Genomic DNA, 24,789 nt, shown 5'->3' with positions numbered 1-24,789 from the left:
ACATAGAGAGAAATCCTTTATTTTTTACATCTACATGGGTGTCCCATTGGGTGAGTATATTGTATTTAGATAACCATTCCCCTATTGATGAATATTTGAGTTGTTTTTATCTTTTTCTGTTACCAAAAAAAAATCATTTAGTGCATATGTGTATTATTCTTTGTTACATTCCAGTGTGGTTCTGTTCTTTATTCCCTGGAATTATATTTCCAATTGAAAGACCACTTTTCTGTGTACACCAGATTTCTGTTCATATAATGGAACCACAGTTTTCTTAGGTTTCAAGAGCTTTCCATTTTAATACAGTGGGATCTAGCCCATTCTAACAGCTGCATATATTTCATTGTATAGATTTGCCTATATTTAGTAATCAATCCTTGTTGTTTGTCCTGTATGTTTCCTGTATTTTGACACTTAAGGCTGCAGTAATTATTTTTGTAGGGAAATCTTAAAATATATGATTAATTGTTTCCCTGGGATACATCGCTAGAAGAATCTCTGGGTCAAAGGTTATGTGTGTGTGTGTGTGTGTGTGTGTGTGTGTGTGTGTTTTGAGACGGAGTTTCGCTCTTCTTGCCCAGGCTGGAGTGCAATGGCGTGATCTCAGTACACTGCAACCTCCATCTCGTGGGTTCAAGCGATTCTCGTGTCTCAGCCTCCTGAATAGCTGGGATTACAGGTATGAGCCACCACTCCCAGCTAATTTTGTATTTTTAGTAGAGATAGGGGTTCCATCATATTGGCCAGGCTGGTCTTGAACTCCTGACCTCAGGTGATCTGCCCGCCTCGGCCTCCCAAAGTGTTGAGATTATAGGTGTGAGCCACCGCGCCCTGCCTTTTTTTTTGAGACAGTATCTTGCTTTGTCACCCAGGCTGGAGTGCAGTGGTGTGACCTCGGCTCACTGCAACCTCCACCTGCTGGGTTCAAGTGATTCTCCTGCCTCAGCCTCCCGAGTAGCTAGGATTACAGGCACCTGTCACCACACCAGGCTAATTTTTGTATTTTTGATAGAGACAGGGTTTTGCCACGTTGGCCAGGCTGGTGTCAAACTCCTGACCTCAAGTGATCTGCCCGCCTCGGCCTCCCAAAGTGCTGGGATTACAGGCATGAGCCACTGTGCCCAGTGGTTATGTGTATTTTTATACCTTTTGATACATACTACCAAGTTGCCCTCAAGGAAGGTTTTACTCAGCATCACAGTTTAAGAGTATCCCATTCCCTACAAATTCAGTAACACTGGGTATCATTTAAAAATAATCTTGGCTAATTTATAGGAGAAAACAATGATACCTGTGGTTTTAATCTGAATTTTCTATTGCTATTGGGATTGAAATTCCTTTGGGTGTTTATTTGAGTACCTTCTTTTGTGAACTACCTGTTCGGGTCCTTTGCCTATTTTTCTATTTAGGGCATTGGCATTTGTCTGTTTCTTGTTGATTTGAAGAGCTCTACACATTAAAAATATTAATTATTTTATGGCTGCATATTATTAAAAACATTTTCCTCATTTTCCTCAATTTATTTGTTTGTTAATTTTGGTTATGTTGATTTTTGGCCCATTTAACTGTAAACCTTTTATGTTGTTAAATACATTAGACTTCCTCATTATGGTTCCTGGCTTTGGTGACTTGTTACAAAGTCTGTCCTCTTCCTAGAGTATATAAATGTTTGCTTGTATTTCCCTCAAGCCTTTTAATGGTTTTTTTTTTCTATTCTTTAAGATATTCTTTATTAGAATTTTTATTTTCAAAAGTAATATGTTCTTTTTTTTTGAGACAGAGTCTCACTCTGCTGCCCAGGCTGGAGTGCAGTGATGTGATTGCAGCCCACTGCAACCTCCACCTCCCAGGTTCAAGCAATTCTTCTGCCTCAGCCTCCAGAGTAGCTGGGACTACAGGTGTGCACCATCACCTGTAGTGATGCAAAAAAATTTGCCCGACTAATTTTTTTGTATTTTTAGTAGAGATGAGGTTTCACCATGTCGGCCTGGCTGGTATCAAACTCCCGGCCTCAAGTGATCCACTCGCCTGGGCCTCTCAAAGTGCTGGGATTACAGGCATGAGCCACCGTGCCAGGCCAGAGATAATATGTCCTAATTGCATAATGGAAACAATGCAAAAATGTATAGCAAAAAATGTAAATTTCCTGTCAGCCCCTTCCATTCTCACTACCATGAGATAACCAGTGTTAACAACGTTCTGCAGTTTCTCTCTATGCTCATAAATGCTTTCATATTTAAGTCTTTAATCCATCTGGAATTTATTGTGGTATCACTGTGACAGGAAGGATTTAACTTTATTTTTTTCCATATGGTTAGCTAGTTTTTCCAACATCCGTCATGAATGACTCTATCATTTCCTCACTGCCCTAAAAGGTGATTTTTGTTATGAACTAAATTCTTATATGTACTTTTGAGTCTTTGTGTAGAATTTTTATCTTTTACCTTCTATCTATTCCTAGGGCAGCATCACACCTTTAACTATGATTAACTAGTGTTAGCTTTTTAATTTGTATAGTAGAGGGCATTCTTTTTCTTTTTTAAAAAATAACTTTTTTTTCTACTAAGTGATGCATTGACATGATTTAAAACCCTGGAAGTATGAAAAGGTATACAATGACAAATTTCCCTCCTATCCTTGTCCCACCTCCCCTCTTCGTAGGGAACCAGTGTTATTAATTTCTTTTTCTTTCTTTCTTTCTTTTTTTTTTTCTGAGACGGAGCCTCGCTTCTTTGCCCAGGCTGGAGTGCAATGGTACGATCTCGGCTCACTGCAACCTCTGCCTCCCAGGTTCAAGCGATTCTTCTGCCCTCAGCCTCCCGAGTAGCTGGGATTACAGGCACATGCCACCAGGCCCGGCTAATTTTTTTAGTATTTTTAGTAGAGATAGGGTTTCAACATGTTAGGCCGGACTGGTCATGAACTCCTGACCTCAAGTGATCACCCACCTCGGCCTCCCAAAGTGCTGGGATTATAGGTGTAACCCACTGCCCCTGGCCCAGTGTTATTAATTTCATAGGTGTTCCATACATATATAATGAAGTACATATATGTATATATTTCCTTCTTAATTTTTTACAAGAATGATAGCTTGCTATATACTGCACCTTAAAAACAGCATTCTTAATTATTTCTTTTTTCAGATGAATTTTAGCATTACTTTACTGAGCTCCCTACCACCACCAGATACACACCCCCAGGATTTTGATTGGAATTGCTTTAAAATTTGTAAGTTAGTTTGGGCCAGCCGTGGTGGCTTAGGCCAGGCATGATGGCTTACACCTGTAATCCCAGCACTTTGGGAGGCCAAGGCAGGTGGATCACTTGAAGACAGGAGTTCAAGACCAGCCTGGCCAACATGGTGAAACCCCGTCTCTACCAAAAATACAAAAATTAGCTGAGTGTGGTGGTGCATGCCTGTAACCCCAACTACTTGGGAGGCTGAGGCAGGAGAATCGCTTGAACCCGGGAGACGGAGGTTGCAGTGAGCCAAGATCTTACCATTGCATTCCAGCCTCAGCGACAGAGTGAGACTGTGTCTCAAAAAAAAGAAAAGATAAAAGAACTTATAAGTTAGTTTAGGGGAGGACTGACGACTTTGCTTTTCTATTGGGGAACAGGATGGTTTTGCATTTACTTGTTTTTAACTTTTATTCAGCATTCACTACAATTCAAGCCCACCCCGCCATTCCGTCTCTCCTTCTGAGGCTCTTATATCCTGCCTCTCGGCTTGGCCCTTGCTGCCAGACCATTGCTCTTCCCTTAGGCAGATCCCACAGCCTTCGGTGTCTGCTATCTCCCCTCTGCCATGGAATCTTTGCAACTATTCCAGTGGGCAGCAATCCCCGCTGTGGGTACCTGCCATCTCTCTCACTACTTGGTGTCCCTTTGTCGGGAGCCCACCACGTAGGTATCCTTCTCTTCCCTGAATGTCTGGCAGTGGCTGCACATTGCTGGTGATCCCCAGGGTCCTGCAGGTGGGAACCTCGGGAGGGTGAGCCCTGCTCTGGCTGAAGCATGCTGGGAGCCGACACGGTCCTCCTCTTCCCTGCTGTGTTCCCCTCCAGGCCTTCCTGGCCAGTGCACCAGGAGGAGGCCTGGAGCTGCTCAGCGTGGGGTGCTGTTCTCAGTGGGTGGGAAGGGGGACTCACAGCCTCGTCTGGGAGTTTATGTGGACAATCTCCTGCTTCCTGGGTGAGGAGAGACATCTGTTGTGATTCTTTCTTTGTGCCCCATGACTTTGTGGTCTCTGAGGGGTATTGAGAAGGGAGAACCCCCACAGCTCTGCCTGTGTATCAGCCTGGCCCCGCTTGGCGGTCCCTCTTCTCCAGGGCATCATGCCCTGGCTTTGAGGTGAGGGAAGGGCAGGACCGATTGGCTCTTTCAGGACAGGCTTTCTGCCTCATCGGCACCAGGTGGTGTGGGGAAGGGGTGCAGGTCACGTGGTCCAGTTTGATAGTGGACTTGTGGCATATGAAGTTTTATTATTTTATTCTGGAATCATTATGCTGTGGGGAATTGATTCCTCTTTTTACCAAACTCATGGTAATAGACTCACTCGGCAGTTTACACACAGGCTGGATCTCTCCACTGAGTGGACTTGGGGCTCCTGCCAGGAGCACTTGGAAAACCCAAGTATTCACCAGGGTGGCGGGGTGAGCAGGGATGATAGTGGGGGCCTTTTGTCGGGCTGTGGTGGAGAGTGCGGAATTCATTACTCTCAGTGTGTATGCTGCTTTCCTGGCGATCGGAATCTTCATGTCAGGCTGGGTGCTATGGCTCAGGCCTGTAATTCCACACTTTCGGAGGCCAGCGCAGGCAGATCGCTTGAGCCCAGGAGTTCGAGACCAACCTGGGCAATGTGGTGAAACCCTGTCTCTACTAAAAATACAAAAATGAGCCAGGCATGGTATTGAATGCTGTAGCCCCAGCCACTTGAGGGGCTGAGGTGGAAGGATCACTTGAGCCCAGGAGGTTGAGGCTGCAGTGAGCTGAGACCAGACCACTTCACTCCAGCCTGGGAGACAGAGCAAGACCCTGTCTCAAAAAAAAAAAAAAATTAAAAAGTAATTAGAAAATAAAAACAGAATATTCATGTCCCACATATGCAGATATTTTCTCTTTAGATATTGGAGACATTATCCTTGTGACACATTCGTAGTTTCTGATAAGGGCTACGTTCGATTCTGTTTTTTGTTTTCAAGATAGGGTCTCACTCTGTCACCCACGCTGGAGTGCAGTCTTGTGATCTTGGCTCACTGCAACCTCAACCTCTCCGGCACAAGCAGTCCTCTGACTTCAGCCTCCTGAGTAGCTGGGACTATAGGTGTGTGCCACCACATCCAGCTAAGTTTTGTAATTTTGTAGTGACAGAGTTTTGCCATGTTGCCCAGGCTGGTTGAGAGCTTGATTGTTTTCATTAACTTGACGTGGTTATAGAGTGTACAGGCTGGGCACGGTGGCTCATGCCTGTCAACCCAGCACTTTGGGAGGCCGAGGCAGGAGGATCACGTGATCCAGGAGCTCAAGACCAGGCTGAGCAACATAGTGGGACCCCATCTCTACAAAAAAAAAAATTTATTACCTAGGTGTGGTAGCATGTGCTTGTAGTCTCAGCTACTTGGGAGGCTGAGGTGGGAGGATTGCTTGAGCCTGGGAGGTTGAGGCTGCAGTGAGCTGTCTATGATGGTGCCACTGCACACCAGCCTGGGTGACAGAGTGAGACCTTGCCTCAGAAAAAGAAAGTATAGCGTTCAATTTACATTAGCTCCATTTCTGTGTGGTGCTTCTCATAACCCACACTGCATTCATAACCTGACGAAACTGGAGGGCCACACGGCGTGTCTCTACAGGTGGCTGTTCACATGCTGTGTGGGGGTTCCTATTTACCCTTCCAGGGGAGCATGTTTCCTGGCTGTGTCATCAGATACTGTGGTTTACGCTGTTCCGGAGTCTGGAGGCCTCTGTGTGCCTTTGCATCTCTTTCCCAACTAATTTGCACAGCTGCTGTGGAGGCCCTCATGAATGACCTCTTTCTTTCCTTTCTTCTTTTCTAGCTACTCTCAGAACCGCACGTTTGACACGTACATTGGGCAGGGCTACGTGATTCCTGGGATGGATGAAGGTCTACTTGGTGTTTGCATTGGAGAGAAGCGAAGGATTGTGGTCCCCCCTCACCTGGGGTATGGAGAGGAAGGAAGAGGTGAGCATCAGCCTCACCTGCCTTCCTCACTAACTGTGGCTGCTTCCACATTGCTTGGAACAGGGCTTCTTTTTCTTTTTCTTCTTTCTTTTTGAGATAGGGTCTCCCTCTGTCGAACAGGCTGGAAAGTGTAGTGTGTGATCATCTTGTACTATGGCCTGAACTCTTGGCCTCAAGTGATCCTCTTGCCTCAGCCTTCGGAGTAGCTGGCACTACAGGCACGCACAACCGCACCCTGCACAGAGCTTCTTGAGAGCCAAAATATTGAAGCTAAAGTCCAGCTTAAGACTGGAATCCCCAAATAGGTTTAGTTTCTAGAGTTGTCCTGTTATTTCTCCTTGTTTCTCTGCCCATTTTCCTTTACCTTTTGAAAATGTTAAATCCTACACCAAAGTCGAAAGCACGTTACAGTGAATTCCACTTTGTGTTGCCAATTGTTAACATTTTGCTATATTTGATCTCTTTTTATATTTATTTATTTATTTTAGGCTGAGCCATTGAAAGTAAGTGCAAAAGCCCCTCTTTGGTTTTTGTTTTATGTATTATAGAATTCACCCATTTAAGTATACAATTTAGTGACTTTTAGAACATTTAGTGGGTTATGTAGCCATCACTATAATCCTGTTTTAGAACATTTTTGTCACCCTCATACCACACTTCCTTTTAAAAGTTACACAAATCATACATGTTGACTTAGGAAAAGAAAATACAGTTAAGCAAAGAAATCCTGCCACCCAGAAATAAATATTTTTTTTCCTTTTTTTCTTTTTTTTTTTTTTTTTTTGAGTCTCATTCTGTCACCCAGTCTGGAGTACAGTGGCACGATCTTGGCTCACTGCAACCTCTGCCTCCTGGGTTCAGGTGAGTCTCATGCCTTAGCCTCCCAAGTAGCTGGGACTACAGGCATGTGCCACCACGCCTGGCTAATTTTTTTTTAAATTTTCAGTGGAGACGGGGTTTCACTGTGTTGGCCAGGCTAGTTTCAAACTCCTGGCCTCAAGTGATCTGCCCACCTTGGCTTCCCAAAGTGCTGGGATTATAGATGTGAGCGCCATGCCATGCCAGAAATAAATATTGTTAATCTTAATCTGGTAGGCAGAATATTCAGCCCCTCCAAGTATCTATGTTCTAATCCCCAGAACCTGTGAGTATGTTACCTTACTTTATTTTGTTTTGAGACAAAGTCTTGTTCTGTTGCCCAGGCTGGAGTGCGGTGGTAAGATAAGCTCCTAACTCACTGCAGCCTCCAGCTTCTGTGTTAAAGTGATCCTCCTGCATCAGCCTCCTGAGTAGCTAGGACTACATGTGTGTGCTACCATGCACGGCTAATTCAAAAGCAATTTTTTTTTTTTTTTTGTAAAGACAGACATGGTCTTGCTATGTTTCCCAGGCCTGTCTGGAACTCCTGAGCTCAAGCAATCCTCCCACCTTGGCCTTCTGAAGTGCTGGGATGACAGGTGTGAGCCACCATGCCTAGCCTCCTGTTACCTTAATAAAAGGGACTTTACAGATTTGATAAAGGATCTTGAGATAGGAATAGTATCCTAGATTATCCAGGTGGCCTCAAAATACTTGCAACAGTCTTTGTAAAAGGGAGGCAGGCGGTCAGACCGGGGAAAAAGTGCTAAACTGCTGACTTAGAAGATACAGAAGGAGGACCCTGTCAGGGAATGAAGGTGGCCCCGAGAGGCTGGAAAAGATGGAAACACATTCTCCCCGGCAGCCTCCAAAAGGAACACATATCCCTAACAATACCTTGAATTTATGCTTCTGCCTTCCAGAATTAGGGGAATCCGTTTGCGTTGTTTTAAGCCAACAGGTTTGTGGTATTTTGCTGCAGCAACAGTAGGAAACAAATGCAGCCATGAAGTGAATGTCCTTCTGTACCTTTGAGTGTATGTATAGGTTTAAAAAAAAAATGCCCACCTACACTAATCAATACGGACAAACACGGGATTGTCTATGCGTATTACTTTGTGATTTCTCTCTTCATCCAATTTGTGGTGAACAACAGATACGTTGTGAACAACTTTCTATGCTATGTATTTTAATGGCTGCTCCCTCGCTTAGGAATAGTTGATGCAGTATTTATTTTGTTTTCGTATTCTTTTGCTGATGGAGGCTGGCCTTGCTGGCTGTACATTTATTTTGTTAGTTCTGTTCTGTTTTTTTGTTGATACATCATATGTATCTTGAGAGTTTTCCCAGTAGTGTTCATCCCAGAGGATCCAAGAAACGTCAAGTTGGTTGGAAGGTAGGTTGTACAATGGAGAAATGTTTTTTTCTCCCTGACTTAAATTTCTGATTGATGAAACCACAACAGATCACAGCTTAAGATCCATTCGACAGGCCTTTCTTCACACATCCTGCTTGTCTAGTGTCTTGATGCTCTATTGCTTTTTATCGTGTGGATTTCTACTTCTAGTCAAATATAAACAGAAACAGATAAATACTTTCTGAGTGTTCTTGTTTCTTTATGGCCTGAGGACTAATCTTTCCTTTCTTTGAAAATAATGCATTGATGGAAAACATTTGCTTAAATTACTTTTTTTCCTCTTGGCTTTCTATCAAGTATGAGACAGAGCTCTGCAAAGAATTATATAAGCCTCTGGGAAGCAGCCGAAGGCTCATAAATTTTCTGGGCAATGAGACTGCTTCATCCTGAATCACGTTGCTGTGGGAGGAGGGCACCCTGAGTGACCCTGAGGTATAAACCCCAAGTGCTCTTGAGTGGAGTCTACCTCTGTCCTCTCCTGATCAGCACCCTTGGCCTCTTTGTGGGGGTTACATAGGAGCTCATGCTGATCCCTGAGGGGCTGACCCGAGAGGGGTCAGGATGCTGAAGCTGTCTGCTTAGTGGCTTCTTCACTGCATACCACAGGGCCAGGCACATTGTGAATGTTTGGCAAATATTTGTGGAAGGAATGAATTGTGGGCTGACCGTGTGCTCTCAGCCTCTATCAGCATTTCATTCTGTCACAGCCATTTTCCCCTGCAAGATTGGTGGAGGGGAAAGGGTAGGCCTCCTGGGAGAGGTTCTGGATCTTTCTGCCATCTGCTTTGTTCCATGGGTCAGCCCTGAAATTAGGGCACTTGGATGGGTTTGCAGCCTCAAAGTGGGGAATGGATTCTGCCTGCGAGGATGTGTAAGCATCACTTCATCGATGGTTTGCTGTTACTCAACTTCCAGATTACCTTTTGAGCACCCTTTTAGGAAAGAGAGGAAAGTTAATAAATTACATTTTACCCACTGTGTGTCTGGGACTTCTTGCACATGAACTCATTCAAACCTGGAAACAGTCTTCTGAGGCATCATTACCCTCATTGTTTAGAAATATAATGAGGCCCAGAGAGTTCCACCCGTGTGTCCAAGGCCACAATAGCTAATCCATGATGGAGCTGGAATTGGACCCAGGGCTCTCTGACCCATATGTGTCCTAGACAGACAGAAAGAATGAGTCCCCATTAGGTAGTGACTTGTTGATACCCATATGTGGAGAACCGAGACCTCAAACTAGAAGTCCTAGAGCTCTCAGAGGAAACACACCCGCTCAGAGGAAACCCACCTTCCTCAGAGGAAACCCACTCCCCTCAGAAGAAACCCACCCCCTCAGAGGAAACCCACCCCCTTCAGAGGAAACCCACCCCCTTCAGAGGAAACTGACTCTCCGCAGAGGAAACCCACCCCCCGCAGAGGAAACCCACCCCCAGCAGAGGAAACCCACCCCCAGCAGGAGCTGCAGAGTTTCTTGGGTGGGCTATTGGCCGCTTTTAAGTTTTCCTCATCTGTATCTCTTCTGAGGGAGGCATCCTCATGGTGAGAACAGAATGATGACTTCTGCATTGGTTAAGGGTTTATACAGAGAGGAGGTTGGTGTTGGAGCCACGTTGGACTATTTCTGCCCATTTGCTGGTCAGCACTCATTTCTATACTTAATCTACAAATAGCTTTGTGGAAGTCAGAGCAAGATAGAGGGATAGAGGTTCGAGGCCTTGGTGCTGCCTGGGGTAGGTGGGGTCTATGGTTCAAGGCTCTGATCTTCATTTTTGCAGGCCGAGAAACTCCATCTATCCATCCGTCAAAGATTTATTGAGTTTCTTCATGACCAGGCCCTGCTCACAGTGTTAGGGATTCAGCAGAAAGAAACACAAACAAAACTTCCTACGCACACAGAGAGTGTTTCCTTGTTGACGCCCTCAATAATGTGTGTGCCCCAGAGGTTATCAGGCACCTGGGAGACTGACTCACGTTAACTTCCTAGAAGCTGACATACTCACCTGATGCTACATGGTTCCTTGACTGGGTGTGAATCGACCTCTACACTGGTTGGAATTCTTGTTCCTGGAATCCTCGGGGCCTGAGAGGCTGAGTTCATTTGACTGCTGACATCAGATTCCAGGGATGTGGGTGGTTCCAGATGCATTCCTTTTTGCCCTGGAGAAGGCCCTGCACCTGAATGCATCTTGGAGGGGAGATTATATTTGAATTGACAAAATTTGGTGACTGCTTAGCTCAGTGTTAGAAGTTTTTAAAATTTGTGGTAAAATATACTTAACATCTTTACCTTGTTAACCATTTTAAGTGTACAGTTTAGTGGCATCAAATATATTCACAATGTTGTATAACCATTACTATCATCTACACTCAGAACTCTTTCATCATCCCCAACATAAACCCATTACACAATAACTCCCGATTCCTCCCTCCTATCAACCTCTGGCAACCACCTTTCTTTCTGTCTCTACCAACTTGCCTATTCTAAGTGCCTCACTTGAGTGGAATCATACAATATTTCTCTCTCTGTGTCTGTCTTATTTTACTTAGCATAATGTTTTCAAGGTCTATTTGTATTTTAGCATTTATCAAAATTTCAAGCTGGGCGCGGTGGCTCACGCCTGTAATCCCAGCACTTTGGGAGGCTGAAGCAGGTGGATAATCTGAGGTCAGGAGTTCAAGATCAGCCTGGCCAACATGGTGAAACCTTGTCTCTACTAAAAACACAAAAATTAGCCAGGTGTGGTGGTACGCATCTGTAATCTCAGCTGAGGCAGGGAAATCGCTTGAACCCGGGGGACAGAGGTTGCAGTGAGCTGAGAACACGCCAATGCACTCTAGCCTGGATGACAGAGCAAGACATCATCTCAAAAAAAAAATAATAATTCCTCTTTTCTGGCTAATAAATTTCATTCCTTTTTATTGCTGAATGAATATTCCATTGGATGTATATACTACATTTTGTTGATCAGATCGTCTGGTGATGAACACTGAGGCTGTTTGTGCTTTTTGTCTATTGTGAATAATGCTTAATGCTTCTGTGAATATGAGTGTACAAATATCTGTTCGCATCTCCAGCTTCAATTCTTTTGTATATATACCCAAGAAAGATATTTTTATTTAATGTTTTCTTGAAATATAATTCACATCCTATAAAAGTAATCATGTTAAAGTTTACAATTTAGTTGTTTTTAGTATATTAACCAGGTAACATAACCATTACCTCTACCTAATTCCAGCACAGTTTCATCACTCCAAAAAGTAACCCATAACTATCAGCGGTCACTCTCCGTACCCTGTCCTCATCCATCCACTGCCCCCACGCTGGCAACAGGTAGTCTATTTCTTGTCTGTATGGATTTGCTTATGCCGGAGGTTTCCATATCCCTGGAATCCTACAGTATGTGGCCTTTTGTGTCTGGCTTCTTTCACTTAGCATAATGTTTTCGGGTTCATTCCCAGGTGATTTTTAACAGGTTACCAAGGTTGAGAAACCATAGATCTGCCTCTGCAGACACCCACCCTGTCCATGTGTGTTAGCTTCCCACACAGAGCCATCCGTGGCCTGGCTTTGAGCAGCCTTCTGGCCAATGGCAGGCTGTACTTCCTGGTTCCTGTGGGAAGGAGCCTGCACCCCACTCCACCCACACCAGCAGCCCCTGTTTTGAGTGAGTAGCAGGCACCTGTGTTCTGCTATTAAAGCACACGCTTCTCAAATTATTACCTTTAACTTTGGCCAGCCCCAAAATTTGTACCTCCATTTTCTCAGGATTTTAATGAGAATTAAACAATACATGTTTAATTTAGAAGAATGCCTGGTACTCAATAAACGCCTATTAAATATGAGCGTGAGTGTGTTTCTATTAGAGAGAGATAGGAGAGAGACCAATCAAGAAGCAGACACAGAAAAGTACGTGTGGGGACGGACGGGAGGTAAGGAGGGACTGTTGGAGTTTGTGTATCTCTATCTGAATTTTGTCATTAGCTGTGTTATTCTCTTGAATAAGTAATATCGTGTCTGAATTTTTCTTTTCTTTCTTTCTTTCTTTTTTGAGGACGGAGTCTCACTCTGTTGCCCAGGCTAGAGTACAGTGGTGCAATCCTAACTCACTGTAGCCTTGACCTCCTGGCCTCAAGCAATCCTCCTGCCTCAACCTCCCGAGTATCTGGGACTACAAGTGCTCACCACCACGCCCAGCTAATTTTTTTGTAGAGACATTTGGCTGTGTTGCCTAGGCTGGTCTCAAACCCCTGGCCTCAAGTGATCCTGCCACCTTGGCCTCCCAGAGTTGAGATTATAGGCATGAGCCACCACCATACCTAACCTGAGTTGGTTTTTTTATGTGTAAAATGCTGATGATAATAAAATATGTCCTTGACTCTAGGTAACATGATTTTAAAATATTTTACATTTAAACTTCTCTGAAATGATTTGGGCTGGGGGATGTATTACAACTGATGCATATGTTTAAGTGTCCCCCACGCCCCTGGGAAGCTGTCGTTAAATTCCTGGGGTTATGGCCACGCCTACCCCATAAGGTTGCTGCAGGGATTTAAAGGGAAAATGTAGGTGAAAAATACTTTGGCAAACTGTAAAACATTATTCAGATGTGAGCTACTGTCTTCAAAAGTGGAAATTATGGAAAAGTTAATAAATAATTTAGTATAGAACAAATAGGATGTATTCTAAAAGCACCTTGTGACTGTTAGGTGTATGATCATAAGGGGCCAATTTTGGGGGAGAGATGTCTTTTTCTTTACGAAGTTTATGTTATGTTTTTCTTGAGCAGTGGTAGGACATTGGAGTGATTTCACTCTACGGCTGATTTTCTCACCCCACCTCTTACTTCCAGTGGGTGAGGGGCAAGTATTAATTTGGCTGGGTTTGAGTTTCCTCATCTGTGATCAACTTAGCCACTCATCTTTCAGGCTCAACGATTCCATGGGGCAATAGTCCATAGTCTTGAATTTTAGTCCAAACTGTGCTCATTACAGGCTGTGAGACCCAGGGCAAATCTGTGCCTCCATTTATCCACCTGTAAAATGAGGATGAGGTTACATCTAACAGCCCTTTCAGCGTCAGTCTTGGAGTCCTCCTAGGGTTCTGTATCTGGGTGCCCGTTTTCCTCACTTGGAGGGCCTTGAGGACATACCTGGTGATACTGGGGAGGCCCATGTGCTGCAGCCTGCAGGGGTCATTCATTCACTCCCTGTGTCTGTCCTTTAGGGAATATCCCCAGCTTGGCTGTGCTGGTGTTTGACATCCATGTGATCGACTTCCACAACCCTTCGGACTCCATCAGCATCACCTCCCACTACAAACCCCCCGACTGCTCAGTGCTGAGTAAGAAGGGAGATTACCTCAAATATCACTACAATGCCTCACTTCTGGATGGGACCCTGCTGGACTCCACGTAAGGGCAACCAGAATAGTGTGGGAGTGAGCCTGGAGGGTGACAGTTGCATGCTCCCACCATCCTCCTCTCTTGGGTAGATGCTGGTTGAGAGCTTTTATCTCCATGCTGCCCCACTGCATAGCTCGTGGCTGCATCACTGCTCAGGTGCATTGTGTTAAGAGTTTCCTATTGATGGTCTTGCCCTGCTCCAGGTCATTTTTCACCCCATGAAATTGTCTTTCTGAAAAGCAGATCTCATCGTATAACTGCTATCTTTCCTTCCTTCCTTCCTTCCTTGCTCCCTCCCTCCCTTCCTCTTTCCTTTCTTTCTCTTTCTTTCTCTTTTTTTTCCTTCCTTTCTTTCTTTTTTTTTCTTTTTTTTTGACAAAGTCTCACTCTTTCACCCAGGCTGGAGTGCAGTGGTGCTATCTCGGCTCACTGCAACCTCTGCCTTCCAGGTTCAAGTGATCCTCCCGCCTCAGCCTCCCAAGTAGCTGGGATTGCAGGCACGCACCACTATACTTGGCTAATTTTGTTTACTTTTTAGCAGAGAGAAGGTTTTGCCATGTTGCCCTGGCTGGTCTCAAACTCCTGGGTTCAGGTGATCCTCCTGCCTCAGTTTCCCAAAGTGGTAGGATTAGAGGTGTAAGTCACTGCACCTGACCCAGGCTAATTTTTTAAATTTTTTTAGAGATGGGGGTCTCACTATGTTGCCCAGGCTGGTCTCGAACTCCTGACCTCAAATGATCCTCCCCTCTTGGCCTCCCAAAGTGCTGGAGTTACAGATTTGAGCCATCATGCCCAGCCGAACTGCTTTCTTTAAAAATTGATGCACAGAGGCTGGGTGCAGTGGCTCATGCCTGTAATCCTAGCACTTTGGCAGGCCAAGGTGGGCAGATCACGAGGTCAAGAGATCAAGACCATCCTGGCTAACTTGGTGAAACCCCGTCTCTACTAAAAATACAAAAATTAGCCGGGTATAGTGGCGGGCAAATGTAATACCAGCTACTCATGAGGCTGAGGCAGGAGAATCGCTTGAATCTGGGAGGTAGAGGTTGTAGTGAGCCGAGATAGCGCTGCTGCACTGCAGCCTGAGCAACAGAGTGAGACTCTGTCTCCAAAAAGAAAGAAAAAGAAAAGACCCTATGGATATACTCTTCAGAGCTCTCCCTCTCGGTATGGGATCCTGTATGCTAATGCATTTAATGTATTTCAACAACTCTAAAGGGCGTGATGGAAACATTTCATGTATCTCTGACCAAGTAAAAACGCTAATTGATGACATACTGTCGGTCATAAAATGTATCCTAATTATACAAAGGTTAAACTGTGAAAAAATAAGCATTTTAGAATCAGTGAAATATGTGCTAGGCTTCCAGGGCCCAGATGTACAGGGACCTGGCTTACAACAGACCTTGCAAAGAAATCCCAACCACTGACTATTGGAAGCTAGCGGGAGGCAGGGCAGCAGGGAAGGGGCATGGCTTGTAGTGCTTTTGTGGATCAAGTGAGCTCCTAAGAGTGAAAATGGTCCATGAGGTTAGAAGGGTCTGTAAGGTCCGTGGCTGCTGTCACTGCTCCTGCTGATGTTCATATTCCTGTCCGCTGATCCTGAGGCTGAGGAAAGGGGAAGTGGGTGTGGGGAATGAACAAAGGAATTCCTTCTCAGAGGCTCCAGGATCTGCTTCTCACGTGGGGCGGGGAGAGTCAGTCTCCCTGCCTCCTGCTTGTGTTTGGAGGACTCATAACATCCTGGCAGAGCACTGAGGAGCCACATGAGCCAGAGCTCCTTATCAGGAAGTGCATTTTGTACTCTGAGAGCCTCTGTATTACATGTAAATCTGCAGCAGAAGAGTAGCGGCTGGCGTCCCTGCTGGTGTCTTCCTGGTGTGAGCTTCAGAATAGTGGGCTAATGGAAAGCTTGGCCAGCACCTGCCTATCTGGTCCCAGCTAGAGCCCCGTGTGGGCTGGGCCCCATTCATCAGGACTAAGGCAGCAGCTGCTGCCTAGAAGGGAGGAGAGGAGTGGGAGTGAGCCGGAGAGGGTGAAGCAGGCAGGAAGCTGCAGGCCGGCGGTGGATGGGGCCAGGAAGCATGCAGGGGGAGTGAGGACCGTGTATGAGAGAAACACTGCCCAAGAGAGAAGAAAGAAAATCACAGGACCCGAGGAAAAAGAATGAGTGGTGTGTTCAGAGATGACACATGACAACAAATTGTTTGCTTGGAGGATTTTCTTACGCGTGCGTGTTTAAACTGGCCTCAAGGAGGAAGAAGAAACATGCGTTCCTGGATGACTGAGTTCTGGAATATTCTGTCATAAGACTTTGCAACTGGAGTAGCCCCAGAAAAAGGCAGGCAGTGGGAGTTGGCTCCCTCCCCAAAGCCATCCCTGAGTTGGCTTTGTTTTGGGTTCCTCCCAGGTGGGAAAACACAAACCCTGTCTTGGTTTGCTGGTAATCAGCTGGAGGAGGGAAAGAAGCGGCTGCCCTGGGCCCAGGGGAGGTCGGGAAGCCTGAGAAGAGGATATGACCCAAAGGGGCACCCGTCCATGTTGTCCCCAGTGCTCATGGGCATCAAGGGGGGTCAGGGGGCTTTTCTCCTTGGAGTAAAGAACATAAACACTGTTTGCCTTTAGGAAGTGATAGGAATGGCATAGATTTTGGAGTAGATTTATTTTTAGTAGTGACCGAAGTGATAGAGCAAACTTTTTTTTAACTGGCTTCCTGAGGCCCATGGCCATCAAGGATAATTAAACTCTTGGTGGTCTTTTTTTTTTTTTTTTAGTCTTAGACTGTTACAGACATAAACACTTTACACCTCAAGGCCAAACATTTATTGAGCCCTTTTTACTTCCTCTCCACTGTGCCAAGCATAACATGTTATTTGCGACTTAAAATGTCCCTGTGAGATAGCTATATTTGTTGTCTCCGTTTCATAGATAAAGTAACTGAGAGATTACATTTCTCAGGGTCAAATTAAGTGGCAGAACCAGGAATCCATCTCAGGTCTTGCTGAATCCAAAAGCCAGGGTTTTTTGTTTTGTTTTTTGTTTTTGAGACAGGGTCTCACTCTGTCTCCCAGGCTGGAGTGCAGGGGCACGATCTTGGCTCACTGCAGCCTCCACCTCCTGGGCTCAAGCAAAAAGGACCCCATTCCACTATGCTTCTCCACTCTGGAACTTCCACAGTCTTGCCTGGATTTTCATGGCCTTGACAGTTTTGAAGATGACAGCCAGACATTTTTCAGCATGTGCCCCAATTTGTTTTTGTCTGATGTTTCCTCATGATTAGATAGGGATTTGCATTTCTTTGGTAGAAATACCCTAGGAGTGATGTGTTCTTCTCATAGGAACACTCTCAGTGCCAGTGGGTTGGTGACCTAACATGAGGCTCTTCTGTTTCATTTTAGGTGGAATTTAGGCAAAACTTACAGTATTGTTCTGGGATCTGGGCAAGTTGTGTTGGGGATGGACATGGGTCTCAGAGAGATGTGCGTTGGCGAGAAACGGACAGTGATCATTCCGCCTCACCTGGGCTATGGGGAAGCTGGCGTGGGTGAGTAAGCAACGCTATTCAAGGGTGTTGGGGGCCCGCTTACTATCTGAATTTTGTGCTTTTTGGGGTGCCATAGTTAGAATCACAGCATGCTTCTTACATGTAATACCCAGAGTGTGTGGTTTCTATTTTTTAAAAATTATTTAGTATTTTTGTTTGGAGACGCCTGTGAATTCAGTGAGCCACGTCAATGCTCCATTACCCTCTTGAGAAAGAACCAGTTTGAGTGAAATAAATCTTGGATCTTCAGACCCATGTGTGGGAGGTGTCCCCAGGGGAGCTGTCCGGGAGGTTTCTCTGGGGTCAGACTGAGCACGTCCTTCTGGAACTGTTTCCTGGGACAGGTGGAATGCTGTAGGCCGTTGCTTTTCACTTCTGAGCCTGTAGGCTGTCCAAGACAGTTTCCTTTGGGAGAGATTAGTTGCAAGTTCTTGAAATACTGGCTTTACCTCATCCTCACAGTGGTTATGTTTTACTCCATCATTTCAGCCACAATGTGTCCTCCACATGGGGATTCAATAACTTTTTTTTTTTCAGAGACAGGGTCTCACTCTGTCACCCAGGCTGGAGTGCAGTGGCACCATCATGGCTAACTGCAGCCTTGAACTCCTGGGCTCAAGCAATCTTCCCACCTCAGTCTCCCGAGTAGCTGGGACTACAGGCATGCACCACCTCGCCTGGCTAATTTTTTATTTTTTAGAGACAGAGTCTCGCTATCTTTCCCATGCTGGTCTTAACTCCTGGGCTCAAGCGATGCTCCTGCTTAGGCCTCCCAAAGCACTGGGGTTATCAGTGTGAGCCACTGCGCCTGGCCCCAGGAACCGCTTCTTTTCAGTGTTTTCACACTGCTGATATCTGGACATGGAGGAGCTAGGAAGAGCTAACTGGTAACAATGATAGGCACTGTGGATTGATATTTTTTCCCCATAAAAGAATTGTAAAGTACATTGTTCTTCCTACCAATCCCAGAAGAAACCCTTTAAAAATTGTTGTATATTCTGGCCGGGTGCGGTGGCTCATGCCTGTAATCCCAGCACTTTGGGATGCCGAGGTGGGCAGATCACGAGGTCAGGAGATGGAGACCATCCTGGTTAACACGGTGAAACCCCGTCTCTACTAAAAGTACAAAAAATTAGCTGGGCATGGTGGTGGGCACCTATAATCCCAGCTACTTGGGAGGCTGAGGCAGGAGAATCGTGTGAACCCGGGAGGTGGAGCTTGCAGTGAGCCGAGATCATGCCACTGTACTGCAGCCTGGCGACAGGGCAAGACTCCATCTCAGAAAAAAAAAAAATTGTTGTACATTCTTTAAGACTTTTTCTGTGATGTATTATTAATAATTATAATACATAGCATATTATATATAACATATAATCTAGATAAAATATAATAATTTGGAATAATGCACATTACCTTTATATAGTCCATACTTAGATAACTTCTTTGGGCCTATACTGTATACACTATTCTTGAATTTGTGCTTACAGTCAAATCTTGGATCATCATCTTCAGGCATATTGTTCAGATTCTAAAAGTTCTGCTGTTAGATTTACTTAAAAGTTTTACCATTGTATTGTAGTCTCTACAAGCAGCTTTCAAACTTTTTTCCACAAGACACACAGTAAGAAATACATTTTATTTCCCAATCTGTATCCTACATAAACATACAAGTTACACATATACACATTTCTTTCTTTCTTTTTAATCAACACATCACAAATTTGCATGTCCTGTTTGCATGGAGGTCATGCTATTCTTCTCAGTATGGTTCCAATTTTAGTATGTGTTGCTAAAGTGAGCATTACTTTTAGTTTTATATATAAAATTTAAACTCAAGTTTCATGACACAATACCTATCTTTTCCACAGGTACAAAGTATTCTGTTTATTCTGTTCCTTTTTTTTTTTTTTTTTTTTTTTGAGATGGAGTCTCACTCGGTCACCCAGGCTGAAGTGCAATGGCGTGATCTCGGCTCACTGCGATGTTTGCCTCCCTGGTTCAAGCAATTCTCATGCCTCAGCTTCCCGAGTAGCTGGGACTACAGGTGCCCACCACCACACCAGCTAATTTTTGTATTTTTCGTAGAGATGGAGTTTCACCATGTTGGCCAGGCTGGTCTTGAACTCCTAATCTCAAGTGATCCGCCCGAGTCGGCCTCCCAAAGTGCTGGAATTATAGGCGTGAGCCACCATGCCTGGCCTCTATTCTATTCCTTAATTTAAAAAATAACTAAACGCTGGTCACCACCCTCTAAACTGATTTCGTGAGTCATTAACGGGCCACTGCCTACAGTGAGAAGGTGACTAGCCTCTGCTCCGCTTTCTTGCTTTGGTCAGAAGTCCCACCCTGAGTGAGGCTGCTGGAGGTCGGGGTGGGTGCTGGTTGTTGGGCTTGACTGCTGCCTGCCGGCTGACACCGCCTCCCGCTCCTGTCACCTGGACAGATGGAGAAGTGCCCGGCAGTGCCGTATTAGTGTTTGACATTGAGCTGCTGGAGCTGGTGGCTGGCCTTCCCGAGGGGTACATGTTCATATGGAATGGTGAGGTGTCACCCAACCTTTTTGAAGAAATTGACAAGGATGGCAACGGAGAAGTCCTCCTGGAAGAGGTAACTAACTGGCCTCTGTAGGAAGGTGGGACCGAAGAGCTCAGGGAGCCTGGTGAGGCTGTGGGGCCGGTTCTGAAGGTGAGGCCTTCTAAGGGTGAGGCCAGCTGGCTGGAGGGCTTGTGAGATGACCAGCACACTTGTGTGCCAAGCGCTTTTACACACACCCTCTTGATGGAAGCTCACCATTCCTCTCTGAAGAAACCGATTCCCTAAGAGGTGTAGGGCTTGATTCCAGCGCACACAGTCTGCATTTAGTTCTCGTTACTGGGTGCTCAACGACTGCCTGTATGTGCTGAGTGTATTCTCTGATTTGGCCCTCACAGCAGCTGTTTTTTAGAAGAAACTGCACAGAGAAGGTAAATGACTTGTCCAGGGTCACACAGCTACTCAGTTGTTTGAGCCAGGACCACACTCCTCTTTGTGAAGCTGGGCAATAGAACCGTCTGTTCTGTCCCACCCCTGGGGAATTCCAGCTCCCTGCCTCTTCCACATCTGCTATTGAAGCGCATCCTCCAGCCTTTTCCTCTCTCTCTCCACATCATCAGCACTTCTGGATCTTTCTCATTTGCATACAAATGTGCTATTATTTTCCCTTCCCTGGATGTGTCTGTTTCTTTCATTGCTTTCCTTCCTTTACAGCAAAAACTTCAAAAGAATTGTGTGTCCTTTCTGCCTCCAATTCCTCTCCTCCCATTCTCTCCTAAACCCACTCCTTTCTGGCATTTGTCCCTCTATGCCTCTGAGCCTGACCTTGCCAGGGTGGCCAATGTCTTCCGTATCGCGGAATCCAGTGGTCAGCTCTCACGCTCCTCTTAACTTCAACACAGCTGATTCCCCTACAGGATGCATCTTTCTCTGGCTTCCAGGACACCACACTTCATGGTGTTCCTTCTACCTCCCTGGTACGTCCCTCTCAGGCCTCTTGTCCCTGATCGCTTCATGTTGGAGTACCCCGGGCTAAGTCTTGACCTCTGTTCTTTTCTCTGTCTTTAAGTCACTCGCTCCGTGGTCTTATCGGGTCCATATCCTGATGGCGTCTGGATTTGTAGCTCCAGTCCAGTCTTCTCTCTCCACTTCACACTCATGTGTTCAGCTGCCTGCTTGATGTCCTCATTTACGGAACCCCTGCTATCCACCCGCACACCCCGCTTGGGGCCTGCTTTACCCAAAGCCTTTCCCGTCGCAGTCAGTGGCATCACTGGCCTCCAGTGGCTCAGGCGAGAGCACTCGGTGATCTCTCACTCCTCTTTCTCTCGTAGGCCGTAATGGTCCTCAGGAAATCATTCCAGCTCTACCTTGAGAGCACACGCAGAACCTGACACTTCTTACCACCCCCACCCTGTAGCATCTTAGCCCGGGGCCTGTCATCCCTTTCCCGGGTCACATCACAGCAGTGGTGTTCATGAAGCTCCTCCTGCCCTCACAGTGGCCGTTCTCACACAGAAGCTGGGTCAGACCTGCAGAGGCCCCTGTCTACAGGGCCTCACAGTGGCCTGTGAAGACCCTGCACTTTCTGCTCGCTGTAACCTCTTTGCCGGCTGTCTCCCTCTGCCCACTTTACCCGGCCACACCAACCTCCAGTGCTGTCTGTGACCACCCAGGCATGCGTCCACCTTGAGCCCTGGCACCGGCTGCCATCTCTGCTCAGGAGACATCTACCCCAGATAACTTGTTCGGCCCTTTCCTTCTCATCTTTCAAGCCTTTGCACAAATCTTCCCTTCTCCTTAAAGTTTTATCCTGACCACTGAATTCAACACTTCATCCCTTTCTCCCTTCCTTACTGAGCTCCGCTTTTTGATTTTTTTCTGGAGCATTTCACTTTGTAACTTAATGTGTAATTTACCTATTCTTATGTTCATGTCTAATTGTCTGTTTCCACTAGAATGCAAGCATCACAGGGGCAGGGTGTTTGTTTGTTTGTGTATTGATATATTTCAAGATCTAGAACAGTGTGCTCAGCACATAGTAGACCATATGTTTTGATCATATGAATGAATGCATGCATCCAAGAATGTTCTTACAGTCTTGGGTGGTCATGGGGGTCAGCCTTTGGTGGGGAACCGAGTTGGGAGAAGGGATAGCTCTGACGGCTGCTGGGTATTGGCTACCTGAGTAATAAGGGCTCTGGGAGTCATTTAGTACAAGGGTTTTTCACCTGCATTTAGAGAAAAAAACAAAACAAAACACAGATCGTAGGTCATATAGCTGCCAAAAAGATCTTGTCTGTGTTGGTAGCCCAGACTCAAGTTCCAGCCCTGTCACCCCCAGACTGCTCTGTTTCTGGCCCCAGGCCTGGCGTTCATGGCAGCTGAACTCATGGTCTTTCCTGTCCCCTTCTTTTCCAGTTCTCAGAGTACATTCACGCCCAGGTGGCATCTGGCAAAGGGAAACTCGCTCCTGGCTTTGATGCTGAGCTGATTGTGAAGAATATGTTCACCAACCAGGACCGGAATGGAGATGGGAAGGTCACAGCTGAGGAATTTAAACTCAAAGACCAGGAAGCCAAACAGGATGAACTCTAAACCTGGCACGAACCAGATGGTGCCAGGGAGTACGTGACACCAAGCCAACTGTGTGGCAGAACGTGCAGTGAGGGTGCAAGGGTCTTTCAGAAGTTGCATCATTAGCCAGTAGTAGGTGGGTCACATAGTACCTGGTGTACACATCGGGGTGGGTTGATATATGGGGTGAGAAGTTTAGGCTGATCGCCAGTGATAGTAAACAAAATCTGTGCAGAGGGCCTTAGCATGGGATGTGTCCAGTATTGAAAAGGCTGCACTGCCAACCATGATTTGTGAACCTTCTGGGAAATTTTGTTATTAAAAGAATATATAGTGTCAGACGGAAGTTATAATCATCTTGGAGGAACCATAAGAAAAAGTGTCCAGGGTATCTATATAAAGAGGGTTAAATTTTTTTTTAACTTGCTGGTTAAAACATTTTAGAAATATTCTTGAGATGGGCAGGAGAGTCAAAGGGCTTGCTTGCCCCAGCAGAGTTCCCAGCAGACAGCCATGGCTCTTCCCAGCAGCCTGTGCAAATTCTGATGATGACCCCACCCCCGCACACGCACACGCACATCATGCTTTTCCAGCTCATCACACCCCGCCCCACTATGGGCCTACCATTAATAGTGTATATCTTGGAGGTTAAAAGAGCCTTTTGGACAGAAAACTGGGCCAGGAAAAGGCATCTCAGACCACAAATAGAGAATTTGATTCCTCATTTGCCACATAAGTCATCTGCTTAGCTTTTCCTTTCTTTTTTTTTTTTTTTTTTTTTTGGAGGCAGAGTCTCCGTTTGTCGCCAGGCTGGAGTGCAGTGGTGCCATCTCGGCTCACTGCAGCACTGTCTCGGCTCACTGCAGCCTCCGCCTCCCGTATTCAAGCGATTCTCCTGTCTCAGCCTCCTGAGTAGCTAGGACTACAGGTGTGCACCACCACGCCCCGCTAATTTTTGTATTTTTGGTAGAGACGGGGTTTCACCGTGTTGGCCAGGATGGTCTCAATCTCGACCTCGTGATCCGCCCACCTCGGCCTCCCAAAGTGTTGGGATTACAGGCATGAATCACCATGCCTAGCCACTTAGTTTTTTGTCATTCCCACCTTTCTATCCCATAGAACACTCTTTTTTATCTTCCCTGAACCATATTGATGAGATAAATAGGGCTGGGGGCTGGGCCCCGCTGGTCACTCAACAGAGTATTTCCCTTGGCCGAGATGGAAGTTTTGTCCCAATAGATGAGCTGCTGAGCATCAACAAGGTGACATTTTTCTGCTGCCCATTTGTGTCCTGGAGACGGTGGTACCCTGAAGGCAGAGGCCAGCTGCTGCAAGACAGCAATGACAGTCCACCTGCCGGCCTGATTCCTGCATCATGGAATAACCACATGGCTACCTTCTATCCTCTGTTCCCAAATGGTGGTGGCACTTATCCTGAAGTCATCAATGATTTCCCTTTGAAACTACTTTATTTTACTAATTTAAACTATTTTGTACTGATGTAGCCCTGAGGTAGTTCATGAAAATGCTGTGCACTCATTCCATGGAATAAATGTTGGAAAGCTGATCTTTTCTGATATAAAATGTTGAATTATATTATCTGGTTTTCTGATGTTTTATTGGAAGGCTGAAGACTTATGAGAATGCACCATGCAGTCAGAATCCCCTTGATGAAAACAGCAGGACTTCACTGCAGTTACTGAGGGAGCACACTCTACTTATAGGGAGTGTCAGTCAGGGTCCTGGCCCTCCTCTGGGACTCCTGAAGAGCAGCTAAAGAAGGGACTGTTTAGAGGGGTGTGGGCGAGGCTGGGGGAACTGAGGCTGTTGAGTGCCAGTGACAGCAGTGTTGGCCACCGCAGGAGGCTGCTACCACCAGGGCCTGAGAGCTCAAGAGGAGGCAGTGGGAGCAGCACAGGAAGGGCTACCTGGAGGCGTCACAGAGGGATGCAGCCAGCTGCATCTGACAGTACGGCTGACACTGCAGCAGAGCGAGGGACAAATGCCCCATCCCCTCTGTGCCCCCATTCTCTGATGCCTGCCACTGGCTCCCATTAGTGGAACCATGTTGGAAGCCAGAGGGTAAGAGGAGCTCAGAGACTGGAGTTCTCAGAGGTCAGCCTCTTGGGTGCAGAGAAAGGTGGAGAATGAATCTGAGGTAGGGATGGGGTGGGTGGGAGCAAATGGAGAATTACTGGCACATGTATAGAGAAACTGTGTGTGTGTGTAGTGCAATTATATATTTAAAAGCAAT

General features: G+C 46.0%; 2 pseudogenes across 4 annotated transcripts; one reads left to right on the top strand and one right to left on the bottom strand.

Annotated features, from left to right (window-relative positions):
• The first annotated feature begins 637 nt into the window (after positions 1 to 637).
• FKBP9P1 (FKBP prolyl isomerase 9 pseudogene 1) lies at positions 638 to 24,131 on the top strand (annotated as a pseudogene). Of its 4 annotated transcripts, NR_003949.1 has the most exons (6): positions 638 to 679; positions 6,057 to 6,202; positions 13,705 to 13,891; positions 17,281 to 17,426; positions 19,870 to 20,033; positions 22,380 to 24,131. The product of NR_003949.1 is annotated as an FKBP prolyl isomerase 9 pseudogene 1, transcript variant 4 (transcript). The 4 variants fall into 4 exon arrangements; NR_027339.1 differs by lacking the exons at positions 638 to 679; positions 6,057 to 6,202; positions 13,705 to 13,891 and adding an exon at positions 15,745 to 16,223; NR_027342.1 differs by lacking the exons at positions 638 to 679; positions 6,057 to 6,202; positions 13,705 to 13,891 and adding an exon at positions 15,904 to 16,292.
• On the bottom strand, positions 19,124 to 19,228 carry RNU6-389P (RNA, U6 small nuclear 389, pseudogene; annotated as a pseudogene).
• Positions 24,132 to 24,789: the final 658 nt, after the last annotated feature.

Source organism: Homo sapiens, chromosome 7, assembly GCF_000001405.40.
Source record: "Homo sapiens chromosome 7, GRCh38.p14 Primary Assembly".
Lineage (NCBI taxonomy): Eukaryota > Metazoa > Chordata > Mammalia > Primates > Hominidae > Homo > Homo sapiens.
The sequence above is the reverse complement of the archived record's forward strand: the minus strand, read 5'-3'. Positions and strand labels throughout refer to the sequence as shown.